Consider the following 15,843-nt stretch of genomic DNA (forward strand, 5'->3'; position numbering starts at 1 on the left):
TCTGTGCAAGAAAACTCAGCTAATTAGGCCTTACTATTATGGTGGATGAAAAGAAATAACAGGTTTGCTTTGGTAATGCTGCCCAGCTTGGTTGATTGCACAATACCAATGTTTCTCAAAGTTTTGCTCTCAGGACTCCTTTGCATTCTTAAACGATATACAGAACCCAAAGAGCTTTTGCTTATATGGTCAATATCTGATAACATTTACCCTATTCGAAATGAAATGTAAAAAAATAGAATATTGACTTATTCATTTAACAATAAAAAATGAAAGTAACACTCTTGAAGATATAGCTGTAGTTCCAAAACAAACAAACAAAAATTAATGGGAAAAGCAACATTATCTTATAGATTTGCAAAATCTTTAATATCTGGCTTAATGAAAGAGTGCTATCTTATCTACTTCTGCATTCCACCTATTGAAATATATTGCTTTAGTTGAAGAATATGAAAAAACCAGCATTATACAGATATATAATTGAAAATGAGGAACGTAGAGAACTCCTGCAAGGATCCCCATAGGTCCTTGGAGCACACTCTGAAAACCTCTTCACTGTAATAATTTTCCACTGTGAGATCTCTCACTGACAGCTATCTCAAAAATATGTGCCCTTTGTCATAAGGCAAAGAGGGATGGGCAGAGAATGTGGTTGGATGACTACGACACAACTGCAAGAATGGAGAAACCACAGAAAGCATAGCCCTTACAAATTGTGGCTCACTAGTGTTACTTTTGTATATCAGGCATCTGAATATTCTAGGTTTATTCAGTTAAGATATGTAAAAAATAATAGGGGAACATTTTTTAATGTGATGGAATAAGAGTTTATAACATTAGAAAAATAATCATTATGCTTTGTATTTGAATAGCTTATTATCAGCTGCATAGTACATTCACATTTTATGTCAACCTGAGAGTCATCTTCCAGATATTATTACTCCCATTTTACAAATAAGGAAACTGAGGCTCAGAAGCGATAAATGACTTTTTAATAAAAATACAACTGGTGAATACAAAGCTGATAATCAACAAGACTTCTGGCTTTAAGTCCAATTGTTAGAGTGGAGTTAAGAGAATGAGATTTTGTCTAATCATTGATGCAGACAAATATGAAATCAAGAAAAACAAAGATTTTACAAATGAACTATCCACATGATGCATGTTGAGTCACCTGTGGAACTGTGAATTACTGAGATAGTCTCTACTGTGTGATCCCATTCTCACTTCACTATTTCTGTTAAATAAACCAAGTTTTTGAAATGAAAATTTTCAGAAGCCTTATTGTTTGCTAATAGATGAGGAGTATCCCATAGACCACACCAGTAAGAGCAACGCTGAAGAGACAAGGACAAACTTCATGAATGTGTCCACTTTGATCTGTTTCCACCAATACCACTCTGGTCCAATATGCCATAATTTCTTGCTGGACTATAGCAATTACTTTCTAATTTCATTTTCTTTTCATTGAATTCAATGCACAAGCCAGGAACCTAAGCGCCTTCCTTGGCTCTTCCCTCTCCTGTCTCCCACCCCGTATCTGATCAGTGAGTCCGACTGAGTCTACCATCACCACTTTGCTTTTTTTAATTTAAATGTGAATCATTAATTCCCTTGCTTAATACTCCTCAGTAGGCTACCTTTTTATCATGTTTGAATAAAATCCCACAAGACCCTGCATCATTGGCCCCATCTATCCCTTTGATCCTCTAGTTGTTCACTCTCCCAGGAACCTGCTTTCTCTTTGATCCTCAAACCCTCTAGACTTCCCTCTTCATTACCTTTTCACTTTGCTATTTTTCTCTGCCTGAAATAATTCACATCATTTTTCAAAAAACTGCTCATTCTCACTGTTTGTGAAATTCTCACTGATAAATATTTTACCTTCTCAGAAAGGCCTCCACTAACCATAATATCTATGGTGGCCTTTTCCAGCTATTCACTTTTATCACTGTCAACTGAAAAATGAGAAAGTTAATACAGAAAAGAGAGCTTTGTTTCTTATAAAGGGTTGCAGCCTGCAGGGTGGCCATTCTGACAGGCCACGAAGTGTAGCCTCTGGCCAGAAGCCAGAAACAGATATTTTGAGAGTGAAAAGTATAAGACAGGGATTTATACTGAATGAGGTGGACAAATATACATATTCAATAAGCTATAGGAGGAGTCATGAATATTCATGAAAGGAGAAATACGTGCATGTGCAATTTTGCTCCATGCCTCTCTGTGGGACCCATGTGCAAAAAATGGGGCATTATCACCATCTGAGGGTGGAGTTTTTGGCCTTCTCATATCAAAAGGTGAAGCAGAGGACACAAAAACCCTCACTACTCATCTTCCTGTAGACTTCCAGAACCACTCCATGGTCGGTGGTCTCTCATCAGGAAGGAATGCTGGTTGGCTGTCTTGTTGAAACAGCAAAACAAAGGGGCAGCATCAGGCATTGGTTGATACTACTGATGGAGCAAGTATTTCCAAAGGGCTGGTTTCTGTTTAACTCAGGGTTATCCAATCTTTTGGCTTCACTGGGCCACATTGGGAGAAGAATTGTCTTTGGCTATGCATGAAATACACTAACACTGGCCGGGTGCGGTGGCTCATGCCTGTAATCCCAGCACTTTGGGAGGCCGAGGCGGGCGGATCACGAGGTCAGGAGATCGAGACCATCCTGCCTAAGATGGTGAAACCCTGTCTCTACTAAAAAATACAAAAAATTAGCTGGGTGTATTGGTGGGTGCCTGTAGTCCCAGCTACTTGGATGCATTCCAGTCTGGGCGACAGAGCAAGACTCTGCCTCAAAAAAAAAAAAAAAAAGAAATACACTAACACTAACAACGGCTGATGAGAAAGAAAGAAAGAAAGAAAGAAAGAAAGAAAGAAAGAAAGAAAGAAAGAAAGAGAAAGGGAAGGAAAGAAAGAAAAAGAAAGAGAGAGAAAGACACACACAAAACTTAAATCTCATAATGTTTTAAGAAAGTTTACAAATTTGTGTTGGGCCGTATTCAAAGCCGTCCTGTGCTGCATGTGGCCCATGGGCTGTGAGTTGGACAAGCTTGCTTTAACCCTTAGGAAAGAAAGTTTAATGGTGGTTAGGAAGCAAGGGGGCTTAACGAGGCATGTCCAACTTCCCATCCCACTGTGGCTGGTAACTCAGTTTTCAAGGTTTCTCTGGGATACCCTTGGCCAAGAAAGGGTCCATTCAGTCTGTTGAGGAGCTTAAGTTCATTTTTATTTTTCATCACGCTATTTATTTCCAGGTAACACTTAAAATTGCCTGTAATTGTTGGAATTTCTTGTGTATTATGTATCTGCTTCACTGGAATATAAACTCTACGCAGCTTGAGCCTTGTCTGTCTTATTCACTGTTATATCCCTAGCACATAATAGGTGCTCAATAATATTTATTTAATGTTGATGGAAACTACTTACTCTCCAGGTTTAACTTTAACAACAACAACAACAAAAGAGTCAGGTTTATTGGGAGCAAATTTTTCTTTGCCAAGCGTTTGTGTCAATAGATGATTATAAATTTTATATTTCTTCTTTTTTTTTTTTTTGAAACAGTCTCGCTCTATCACCCAGGCTGGAGTGCAGTAGTGTGATCTCAGTTGTAGCGTCTGCCTCCCGGATTCAAGCCATTCTCCTGCCTCAGCCTCCTGGGTAGCTGGAACTACAGGCGCCCACCACCATGCCTGGCTAATTTTTGTATTTTTAGTAGAGATGGGGTTTTGCCGTGTTGACCAGGCTGGTCTCAAACTCCTGACCTCAAGTGATCCACCCACCTCGGCCACCCAAAGTGCTGGGATTACAGGCGTGAGGCACTGTGCCGAGCCAAGTTATATTTCTTACCTCATACTGTTCACCTTTGGAGATATTCATCTAGCACAAGGACTTCATTTTCAGAGATATTTATCCAGCACAAGGGATCTGGTGAGCCCTAGTAGCATCAGGGATGTTACATCAACATGCTAGTGTGGATTAGTTTGGAAGCTGTGAAAGTTGACCCTGGATGACTTTACATATATTTAGCTTGCTAACTTCAATTCAAGTTATAAACATGTGTTGGGCAATAGGATGTTAAACCCTACGTCAAAGGGTTTATCTTCACAGTTTTGCAGTGTGACTTGACTCCTCTTCTCCTTATAGGCTATTGCTTAGAGGGAAACATGAAGTCAAACAAAGCAAATTTTAAACAAGCAAAACTGTAGAGAGTCTTGGCATGAAGAGAGCAAAGCCAGGCCAGCAGCTGGTCTAAGGATGGCAGGTTTAAAGGTCAAAACTATCAGTTTCTCCCAGTTGAGAGATTTCATTTCTTTTCCAAGAATCAGATAACTTACCCAAGTAATGACAGGCGGATATTTAAAATATTGTATTTGCATAATCAGTTGCAGAAATCAGGCTCATTAATACATGACTTTTCCACTTTATTTTTTATTTTTATTAGAGACAGTCTCATTCTGTTGCCTAGGTTGGAGTGCAGTGGCATAGTCCACTGCAGCCTCCAGCTCTTGGCCTCAAGCAACCCTCCCACCTCAGCCTCTCAAAACACAGGGATTATAAGTGTAAACTATTGCAACTGGCTTCTCCTTTCACTTTAAACACAACGCCCTTCAGATGGATAGCTAGCTAGCTAGCTAGATATAAAAATAGGAAGAATGTGAATAAATAACTTTGCTGCAGATACTAAAGACTAAGGTAACAGAACTCTGAAGAATAAAAGACCTCATTTTCATTGGTGCCTACTCCTTTCTTGTCTTTGTTTCTTCTACTTAATTTTATTTATATTTATATTGTATGATGGAGACATAAAATTCTCTAAATTTTACTTAACATTACACCAAGTGCATTTTGCCATTGTGCTGTAATTGTCATTGTTCTTTTCCTTAACTTTCCTTTCCCCCCTTTTTCTTGCCATACACACCCTGACAAGCAAGGTAACGTATGTTCACTCCCTGGTGTGTATCCTTCCCTCTTTTATTAAACTCACCTAGCCATTTACAAATATGCGTGAGAAGTAGGGGACATATTACTTAAGGGCACAGATTCTGGAACCAGAATGCATGGTTTGAATCTTGGCACTGACCCTACCTGTGTGACTTTAGGAAACTTACTTATCTTCTGTGACTTGGTTTCCCCATCTGTAAAACCAAGATAATAAGAGTACTTATCTCATAGGGTTATAATGAAGTTTTAAATAAATTATTATGTGAAGTGCTTAGAACAATAGTGTCATAGAATAAGCACTGTAAAGGCGCTATTATTATTATTTTGATGCATCTATGTATGGATTTTTGTGGCTTTTTATTTTCATGAAAAGGGAACATACTATATACATTTCTCCTCAACCAAATTTTCTTTCTTTCATTAATTCTCCTTAACCTGATTTCATTCTTAAAATTCTTCCATTCTTAAAAATACATTAGAGATATCTCTTGACATCAAGAAATTGAATTCATTTATAGAAAATAGCTGAATGGGATTTAAGGTCTGTAACACATCTATTTAACGGTTTTCTTATCAATGGACATTTGGATTATTTCCAGGTATTTCAGCATTATCATTTTTTTGCCAATGCAAACAATGTTGCAATTAAAATTTTTGAACATATATCCTTCCTACAGATACTTTTGTTTCTATAGGAATGTGATGGGAACTAATTGCTAGATCAATGGACATTGCTAGATTAAATGTCCAGAACAGACTTAGCTAATCACATTTCCACCAGGAATGTCAGTCCTTTCACGTCCCACCTGGCCCTTTCCTCAAACACTTCCATTCTCTTCTGAGTTGCTTTAAACATTTTTTTAATTTAAATATTTCGAATTGTTGAAATATTTCAAATAATTGTTTTTTAATTTTAATATTGTCTCTCTGAAACACCTAAAACCTAGTTTTCTATATGGTGTGATATATAAGTTAAGTTGTCTTTTCATCTAGTCAGTGGTACCAGAACCATTTAATAAATAAATATTATTTTCCAGCTGAGCACGGTGGCTCATGCCTGTAATCCCAGCACTTTGGGAGGCTGAGGTGTGAGGATCACGAGGTCAGCAGATCGAGACCATCCTGGCTAACATGGTGAAACCCCGTCTCTACTAAAAATACAAAAAATTAGCCAGGCGTGGTGGCGGGCGCCTGTAGTCCCAGCTACTCAGGAGGCTGAGGCAGGAGGATGGCGTGAACCCAGGAAGCGGAGCTTGCAGTGGGCCGAGATTGCACCACTGTACTCCAGCCTGGGTGGGGGACAGGGCAAGACTCCGTCTCTAAATAAATAAATAAATAACAAAAAATAAATAAACAAATATTATTTTCCCTCTAAATTTCAATAACAAATTCTGGAGTATTTTGCTGTTTTGTTTCAGTAATTAGCTTTAAAGCAAGTTCTGTCACTATTCTTTTTTATATATTTCTCAGCTTTTCTCTGGCATTTTTTCCCCTCCCTGTAAATTTTAGAATCACAGTTTTTGTTTCAAGATTTTTTATTACTTACAAAATTGTATATTTTTGTTTAATGAAGCATTTGATGGATCTAAATTTGGATATAATTTTTTTAAAAAAACATCTCATCTACCCTGATATTTTGTTTATTTTTAATTTATTAATTTCATCTTTTATTAGTTCTAATTTTTTCTTCCTACTTTGTCTCAGTTTGTTTTTTCTATTCTAATTTATTAACATAGTACTTAGTACCTCATTTTCAATCTTTTCCTTAAATAATAAAGACATATTAGGCTCTAAGTTTTCTTCTAAGACAAACTTGCATCCCGCAAGTTATAAAGTGCTTCTTTTCCTTTGTATTAAAAAGTTTATAATTTAGGTTTGATTTCTAGCTTGTTCTATAGGTTATTAAGGAGTCAGTTTCTTATTATAACAAGTTCAATTTTTATTATAATTTATTTTCTTATTTTAGTAGTTAGTTTGGAGAATGTGGCCTATAAAATGCCAATATTTAAGATTTTATTAATGCTTTCTTTGTGGCGAATTTTATGAAATGAACATATAAAAAATTATATTTTACTGCTCAACAGGCCTGTGATATACACTCACTGTGATTGTATTAAATCTCTTTATGAACTTGCTTTTTTTTCTTTTGTCTATTACAACTTTCAATTCTGAAAGAGTAATTGAAATCTTTCAATGTAAATTCACTCTAATTTTTCAGTTATTTTAATTATTTGTTCTTAATAGATTTAGTTGCTATGCTATTTGGTACACATCCATGTATGTACATTATATCTTGTTTGTAACTTATGCTTTTTGCCTATTCATAAGTGTTGCACTATAGCCCTCTCCTCTGGAAATTCTGCCTAAGCCTTCAGCCACAAATGTTCTCTCAAACACTTGTCAGCTTGCCAGTGCTGGGTTTTATCTCATTCTAGCATCTAGTTAAGATTGAATTTACAAGGAGAGAATTCTAGGAATGCAAATTCATACTGTTATTAGGTGCCTTATGTTTTTAATTTGTAATTTTTTTTCCTTTTTTGACTTCTATAATGTTAATAGGCCTTCTCACTGATGTAGGGTACAAATTACTGACAACAGTATTATTAATAAACTAGAAGGAACAAAGAAATTAAGTTAAAGGTAAGTGCTTGGAGAGAGGCTGCAGGTATGGGTATAATTCATTTTTTTGTTTGTTTGTTTTTTTGAGATGGAGTCTCGCTCTATCACCCAGGCTGGAGTGCGGTGGCACGATCTCGGCTCACTGCAACTTCCACCTCCCAGATTCAAGTGATTCTTCTGCCTCAGCCTCCTGAGTAGCTGGGATTACAGGCACACGCCACAATGCCCAGCTAATTTTTGTATTTTTAGTAGAGATGTTTCACCACGTTGGTCAGGCTGGTCTTGAACTCCTGACCTTGTGATCCCCCTGCCTCAGCCTCCCAAAGTGCTGTGATTACAGGTGTGAGCCACCATGCCCAACCTCATTTTTATAATAACAGTTACTGTTTATTAAGTGTCTATTATCTATAGACAATTTGTACATATTCACACTGTCTAATCCTTACAGGTGCACTATAAGGCAGGCATTATTTACTTCATTTTGGAAATGAAAAAGTGTTACAAACAAAGACATTAAGCATCTCAATAAACATGCAGTTAATAAGTAGCTAAACTAGAAAGCTTGGTTGATTTTCAGTTTATGAAAAGTTAGATACTTATTTCTTCCCAGTGTACCACACTGCCTTACTTGTATACAGACTAAAAAGATATTCTGGTTATACTGAATAAATGGTCATCCATATATAATATAATAAATATAATACTTTTTAAATCTTAAAAACTGTATTTATTCAATAAATATCTATTCAACATGGAGTACCTACTGGTAAGTGTTGCAGCTACTAAGCAAGAGGAAATGACAGGAGAGTAGATATTTTTGGAAAAAAGTTCATTCAAATGGGGATATGTCTTTGAAGCACCTGTGGGATATAATAATGGAGTTGTCTAGTAAAAGGCTGGGAATATTGATGTAGGACTCGGGAATGGTCATTCAATCTTGCAATAAATATTTATTGAGCATCTACTCTCTTCAAGGAATAGGCAGACAATGAGAATACTTACAAGGTGTTCAGGTTACCTCAGGCGCTGGCTAACACAGTTTTTATTAGTCATCACTAAATAAAGGAGAGCTGACGTTACAAGCATAGAGATCACCCAAAGAAAGGCTATGTCATGCAGGGGAAAAAGGGGAAAGAAAGGGCTGAAGATAGTTTAAAATAAAATTTAACAAAAATGTTTAAGAAAAGGGGTTCATAAAAGAGAAATTAAGATATGCAGAAAAAGGACCAAGTAAGAAAGAATGATATGATGAAAGCAAGGAAGTTTTGAGTCTAATATTTGATGAATGAATTTTTACTTCAGCCATCCCTAAGTCATAGCGAACTTTGGCTTCTATCTTCAGGACCATATGTCAAATTGGTGTCCCATTTGTTGGGCTCCTGGCAAATATTCCCAGCTTATTGGGACACTGATCAGAAATCTAGAGTCAACAGCCCCCAACTTTCTAGAGAACTTAGGGCCCCCTGAAACTGCAGTGTGGCCACTCCTGATGCACATTACTATGAGCATGTGGTTCTGTGCTACAGACTGAGCAGCATGTTAAACCTGATAGTTTTCATTATACCGTTATACCACAATGTGTCATATACTGAGATGCTTTTTAAACATTTTAAATGTCAGCTTATCATTTTTCTCTCATAAAAGGGTACAGAAACATTACCACAAGTTGAACTTTCTAGTTGCTTAGAACCTGGAATGAGGAGGAATAAATAAAGATTAGTGTCCCGTGCTGGACTGTCTTTCTTGGTTTTTCTTTAGAAAATTGAAAAGCTGTAGGCAAAAAATCTGTTGCATAATTGCAAGAGTTAATTAAGAAAAACCCATCTGCGTGTGATTCACATGACATGTCTGAAAGTCAAAATGAAACTATCATCTAATTTGCTGAACTAAGTTTAACATGGTTCCCTAGAAGGCTGAAAAAACAAACTGTTCCCTCTGTGATTATAATTTCTGATTTTGTTAAATTGAATCCATTAATAGAAAAACTATTGATTCAGGGGTATTATTAGGTATCTCTATAGACATAGAGACAATAAATATTTAGAGAATCTCTATGATTCTCCCTAGAACTCAATTTGCACAAAACTGTCATTTTAAATCACAGAAATACTCAAAATATCTGAAACATATATTGGAAAAAGTATCTGCTAGGAGCCAAGAAACCTGGCTTATAATTATATCTCTCTCACCAACTCATTTGGATGTTGAGAAGATCAAACTATTTCTGTGATTCATTACAGGTCAAATTAGGGATAATTGCCATGCCTATCTCACTAGATTTTTATGAACATTGAAAAAAATTCACTTTTTCAATAAAGATTCATTCATTCATACAAGTGCATATTTACTTACTCCATGCTAAGCTGTGTTAGCAGCAAGGAGTCAGCAATGAACATGGCAAATGAGACCCTTGCTGTCATGGAGCTTAAATTTAAGCCAGAAATAAAACTTCAGGTACATGTGGGTTGAGTATCACAAAGGTAAGTGTCAGTATCATAATGATAATGTATGGTAGTTTACGAAGTCAGAGAACTCTCTGAGAAAGTGATAGGCTGAGCTCTGCTGGGTAAGCGTTGTGTATGCCAACAGCATTTAAAGTCAAGGAAAGAACATGTTGAAAAGGTCTATAGAAATTTGAGGAAGTGTGAATAATCCAGAATAGCTAAAACCATGAGTGGTGGAGAAGAGGTGAAAGATTATAGTTATGAAAACACATTGTGACATGGCTAGTGAGAATACAACATGGTTTGAACATTTTGGAAAGCATTTTGGTAAAATGAAATAAGAATCTCAAATAATCTTTTTAGCATTTTATTAGATAATTTCACATCTGCACAGCTATCCTATTAAAAATAATATAATACACAGACAAAATTAAGAACAATGATGTTTATTAATGTATATTTGTAGTAGAGAAAAACAGAAAATTATATAGGTGTGGGCAAAAAATTACAGTTTGTGTAAATGAGGAAATATTTATAGCTAATAAAAATCTGTACATGGAGTTCATAATAATAGAAAATATTTATTTAATAATATTAAAAGAAAGAAGGAGAGGACAAGGCAGACATGGGCCCAGGTAAATAATAATCACTCCATGAATCTCTGTCACAATTGAGGAACTCTCAGATGAGGATATCCTAATTTTATACAGGGATTTCTGGCAAACCTCTCCACCTCTCCTCTGGAAAAGACAATATCTTGATTATGCCGGATTGTCTCCAGGAAGGAGATGGAAACATCTCATCTTTGATATCCTGGTCAGCAAATAAATCTGTCCTCTGACCTGTAAGGAGAGACCATTTCTAGCTTCCAAGAAGCTCTTTGCTATGGGAACAACCTTGAAAAAACAGCCTAACACAAGATCTATAGAAATGCCATGGAGAAATGCCTCTCCAAAGTCCTATTTTTTTTAACTTTTAAATTTTTTTTTTACTGTAAATATTTTTTAATGTTTTAGAAAGGGTTACTATTATGAGCACATGACATTCATTATGGTGGGAAAAACAGAAAGTTGGCTACGTAGTGACTTGAGTTTCTTCCTGCCTCATAAATGTCAGCTAACCTAGGAAAGTTTCTGACACTAGTTAGATGTAGCAACTTCTCTGAGCCGTTTCCATTAAATGACAGCTCAAGACATACTCTGTCTAAACTTGAATCTACTTTAAATTATATGATTTAGTTATTCCATGTAGCAGGGGCAAAAACCCAAACCTACAATTGAATGAATAATTGAAATTACTTAATTTAAAGGAAATTTCCCAGTCATAATATTAACAGTATATAGTTTAATTACTTGAGTCAAGTGATCCAATACATTATGCGCAGAAAGACCTTTATAAATATATTTTAAAATAAAGTTCAAGTAGTTTGACTCTATGCACATGTTAATTCCACAGAATATTTCTGGAACAAAAACAGAACTTGCAGTTTTGAAGATAAATGTTAAAAAAGTGTGATAAAAATTACTGGATAGTTAAACATAAGAGGCAAGGAAACTATAAAGTTCAAGAATATGTAGCTTATTTTCTCCATTCAAATCCAGTATGATGTCCTCAATTTGTAAGATGTTATGCAAAGAATATTGTCTCAAAATTACATTAGAGAAATAACTTTAGCGTTAGAAGACCTAACTTTGGCAGCTGCTTACTAAATGTATTATCTTGCGTAAATTCTCTGAGGTTTAGATATTCTCATAATAAAACAAAGATAATTCTTGGCTGGGAGCGGTGGCTCACGCCTGTAATCCCAGCACTTTGGGAGGCCGAGATGGGCAGATCACGAGGTCAGGAGATCCAGACCATCCTGGCTAACACGGTGAAACCCCGTCTCTACTAAAAATACAAAAAATTTAGCCGGGCGTGGTGGCGGGCCCTTGTAGTCCCAGCTATTCGGGAGGCTGAGGCAAGAGAATGGCTTGAACCTGAGAGGCGGAGCTTGCAATGAGCCGAGATGGCGCCACTGCACTCCAGCCTGGGGGACAGAGTGAGACTCCGTCTCAAAAAAAAAACAAAAAAAAAACAAAAAAAAAAACCCAAAGATAATTCTCACCTTAAAGAGCTGTTGTCAGGATCACATGTGATGATATATGTGAAACTATTTTGTAAACTGTAAGATTTATAATAGAAATGTAAAGGTTTATTACTACTAAACTGAGTGGTAGTGACTTTAATACGCAGAATATGATAAAGGCTGTGAGTTTTAAATACAGTGTGAGGAGAGCATGAAGAAGGGAACCATTAATTCTTCTAAAGGCAAGGAAGAGATTTGAATCTGAGGAGGAGAGGTTATAGCTAGTCTGTGATGGTGCAGATGTTTTGCTTTTAGAGTAAGAGCAAGAGTGAGAACTAGAGCTAGTGAGCAAGAGAGAGAAGGAGAAGATGAAAGAGAGACAGAGAGAGACAGAAAAAGAGAAACTGACTTAGGTAGGGTGACTTAGCAGAGGGAAAAATTTGGCAAAGAGATGAAAGTTTCTATTTTGTTTGCATAAAGTTTCAATGTGACAAAACAGTGAAATTTAGCTTAGGGGTAGCAATTTTTCTACTAGTTTATCACTGATGTCTGAAATTTCACTTTTATGATGAATTCCTTTGGGTCATTGAGAAAGCCCTCCCTGTTATACCAAGAATGCTTAGTCATTCCTTCTTCTGTACAACAGCTACACAGCGTACCTGCTTTCATCACCATATTGACTGCATGCTTCATTTAATTTATTTATTTGTCTGCCTTCCTTAGCATCTTTATAGGTGGTGGGCATGGCAGGAAGGTCCTGTAATTGACACTATTCAGGTTTAGAATAGGCTTCAATAAATATTTATTGAATGTAATTGCCTGTGGTTAAAATACAAACACTTCTGAGAACTGTAACAAAATACGCGTCATCAAAGTTAGCTAAGATTATTTTTCCCACAAAAATCCCTTAGGGATACTAGAAAAAGTGGTAAAAGATTTGAATTTATACAAAGCCCAGAGAGAACATCACAGTAGGAGGGCCCTGGGCCCTGAAGTGTGGGAGGTTTCCAGAGATTAAGAAAAAAGGAAAGGAGAAACATAGAAAAATAAAAAACCTTCATCCTCTTCATATTTTTTCTAAGAATCTGCTCTCCCAACCTTCAAGAAATTCATAGTTCTTTTGAGAAGAAAAGAGTAGCAAGCAGAAAACAATAAACAAGGAAGAACTTTATATCCGGGTTTTCCAAATTCAGACCATGTGAAGTTGATTTATGGAGTGGAGGAAGCAAAATGCATCAAAGACACATATTAATCAGTAGTATGTCTTCTATTCATGCATGACTTTCTCATATGTGCATATTAATAGACCCTGTTGCGATTAATAAAATACAAGTTATATAAGATAATTCAGAGCTATTTAATCAAAATATATGTTATTTAGCAACTAACTATAAAGGTAGTACTACCAAGTTGGGGAAAATGGAAGTTGTCATTGATAAACAATTTTTGTTTGAATAATTTAAAATGAAAATGTGGGAAGGACTACTGCACACCAGCTTTGAAAGACTGCTTTTGGCATTTCCTACCTCTGAGTCGTGAAAACTGATGTCAGGCCACACTCTACCATTAACTAGCTGGTCATTTGGGGAAAACCACTTTTTCTCACCAAGTCTTTGACTTAATTTTTCTGTGCTAGTAAAATGTGGATTAGAATAATCAAGAAAGAATATTTTATAATTGTGAAAAGTATTTGAATGAGATTCAGGCATGATAATTCCCCCGTATAAAGATTCACCAAAATTCCAGCGATGTGAAATTTGGTTATTTGAATTTCAGAAGAAAGGAGAGAAAACTGCTTTTATCAAACACCTGCTATTTCAGATATTTTGAATTACCTTAAAAATATAATCCTCATAGGCTGGGCGCAGCGGGTCATGCCTGTAATCCCAGCACTTTGGGAGGCTGAGGTGGGTGGATCACCTGAGGTCAGGAGATGGAGACCATCCTGGCTAACACGGTGAAACCCCATCTGTACTAAAAATGCAAATATATATATATATAATATACAAATATATATATATAATATACAAATATATATATAATATACAAATATATATAATATACAAATTTATATATAATATACAAATATATATATAAATATACAAATATATATAATATACAAATATATATAATATACAAATATATATATAAAAATACAAATATATATATATATTTCCCATAAACCCTGAGATAGTATAATAATCTGCAAGTTACTTATCTTGTAGAGAGTCCACAGCTTGTAAATAGCAGTGTCACTATTCAAACCTTGGTCAGTGTCCAGTTCCCATGCTCTGTCAGTATGCCATATACCGAATGCACCCAATTTTTAATTTTATAAACATAAAAGGAAAGATTCTTATCCACCCAGACATGAAAAATCTAGCATTATCCTGAGCCTCTGCTTTCTCTTTGCAAATTACCCCTGTAGCAACTCAAGAAGCATTTATAGTAAGCAAATATCTGTTACTTTAGGAAAGCTTCGGAGTCAAGAAGCTAAGCCACCTTGCACAGCTCACAAAGCTGCAAGGCATGATCTTTCACTTGTTGATGAGTAGAGTAATTTTTAACATCCTTGTTTTGAAATAAGAGTAACTACTGCCTAGATGGATCCCATAGCACATAGAAGTGTAATGTGGGATGTGAGAGGAGGTGAGTGGCTACAGAAGGTGAGGAGTGGAAGGTGCACGCAAGCTTCAAGGGATTAGTAAACTAACACTGAAAAGAGGAAGTGGTTTCTGTAGCTACTGATAAAACCCTCATATGCCCTGTTGGAATACATATGCCACCTAAACTCAATGTTAATTTTCATTTCTTTTTCTCCTTTGCTTCATCTTTTCTTGTACAAATGAAGGGTGTGAAAGGGAGGAACAGAATGTTTTCACAGGGGGAAGTATTTTAAAACTTTTGAGTCATGCTTTCTTTTTCCTAAAAGTAGAGAATTTGACTATGTTTATTCTTTTAGTTTTGATATCCTGATATCACAGTTTTACATTTAAAAATGTATTTTAAATGGGTAGCCATAAAACATTTAAAAACATTTGACATTTTTAGAAATAGACAGAAATGGGCTTATTCAAACATGGAAAGCACAAAGCATCTATTGCTTTTTTTTTTTTCTAACAAGTGAACATAGCTAAATAGAGTAATACTGCTATCAGAAGTATATACTCATTGAATGCAAATTCAGTATCTCTCGAATGGGGTGAGGAGATCAAAGGAGGTTTTACTGAAAAAAAACTTAACCAAATAAGAAAAAAACAATGTAGGAATGGTTTTCAGTTATTAACTTTGCTAAATAATTAGTAACAAAAAATTACCCAGTAAAAGAATAATTTAATGTTTTACCATTATGTTTGTTAAACAATAACCCAAAAGCATGTTCACCAGTCCTGTATCTTCTTTCTCACCCCATTCTGACAAGTTTCTCAAAATGCATCAGTCTGTATATTCATCCCTATTTACCTTCACCCCTATTCATCCACCTGCCCCTATCCTTCAACCTCTACTGAAGACCAGGAGGAGAATTGTTTTTCTCCTCACCATTAAGCGGTACTGAGCACATCTGTTTTATCCTGCTGTAACCTCATTAACTAGCAATTACCTGTTGAGTGGATCAACTAATTTTGTTTTATAAGGTGAAGTGTCTCAAGCACAGGCAGAACCCGCCCTCCCCAGTGGAAAATTGAGAGCCCTAATGTTCAGCTCTGGTTTTTGGCTAAGATACCTGTTTTCATGAACAGAAGGCCTTCTCTGCATTTGAGCAAGGAAGAA

The 15,843-nt window shown here is 35.9% G+C and overlaps 1 long non-coding RNA gene across 4 annotated transcripts in view, besides 1 other annotated feature; it reads left to right on the plus strand.

The window, feature by feature from the left end:
* The window catches only part of LOC101929174 (uncharacterized), a 90,309-nt gene that overhangs the window by 7,083 nt on the left and 67,383 nt on the right, over window positions 1–15,843 (plus strand). The gene's annotated exons all lie outside the window — the stretch shown is intronic.
* Window positions 12,582–12,787: a transcriptional cis regulatory region, noted in NCBI's record as "candidate enhancer chr11.4755 targeted for multiplex CRISPR interference". NCBI's record gives its function as "positively regulates CTSC gene expression with high confidence in K562 cells {active_cell/tissue: K562}" and the evidence as "EXISTENCE:mutant phenotype evidence [ECO:0000015][PMID:30612741]".

This window comes from Homo sapiens, chromosome 11 (assembly GCF_000001405.40).
Source record: "Homo sapiens chromosome 11, GRCh38.p14 Primary Assembly".
Classification (NCBI taxonomy): Eukaryota; Metazoa; Chordata; class Mammalia; order Primates; family Hominidae; genus Homo; species Homo sapiens.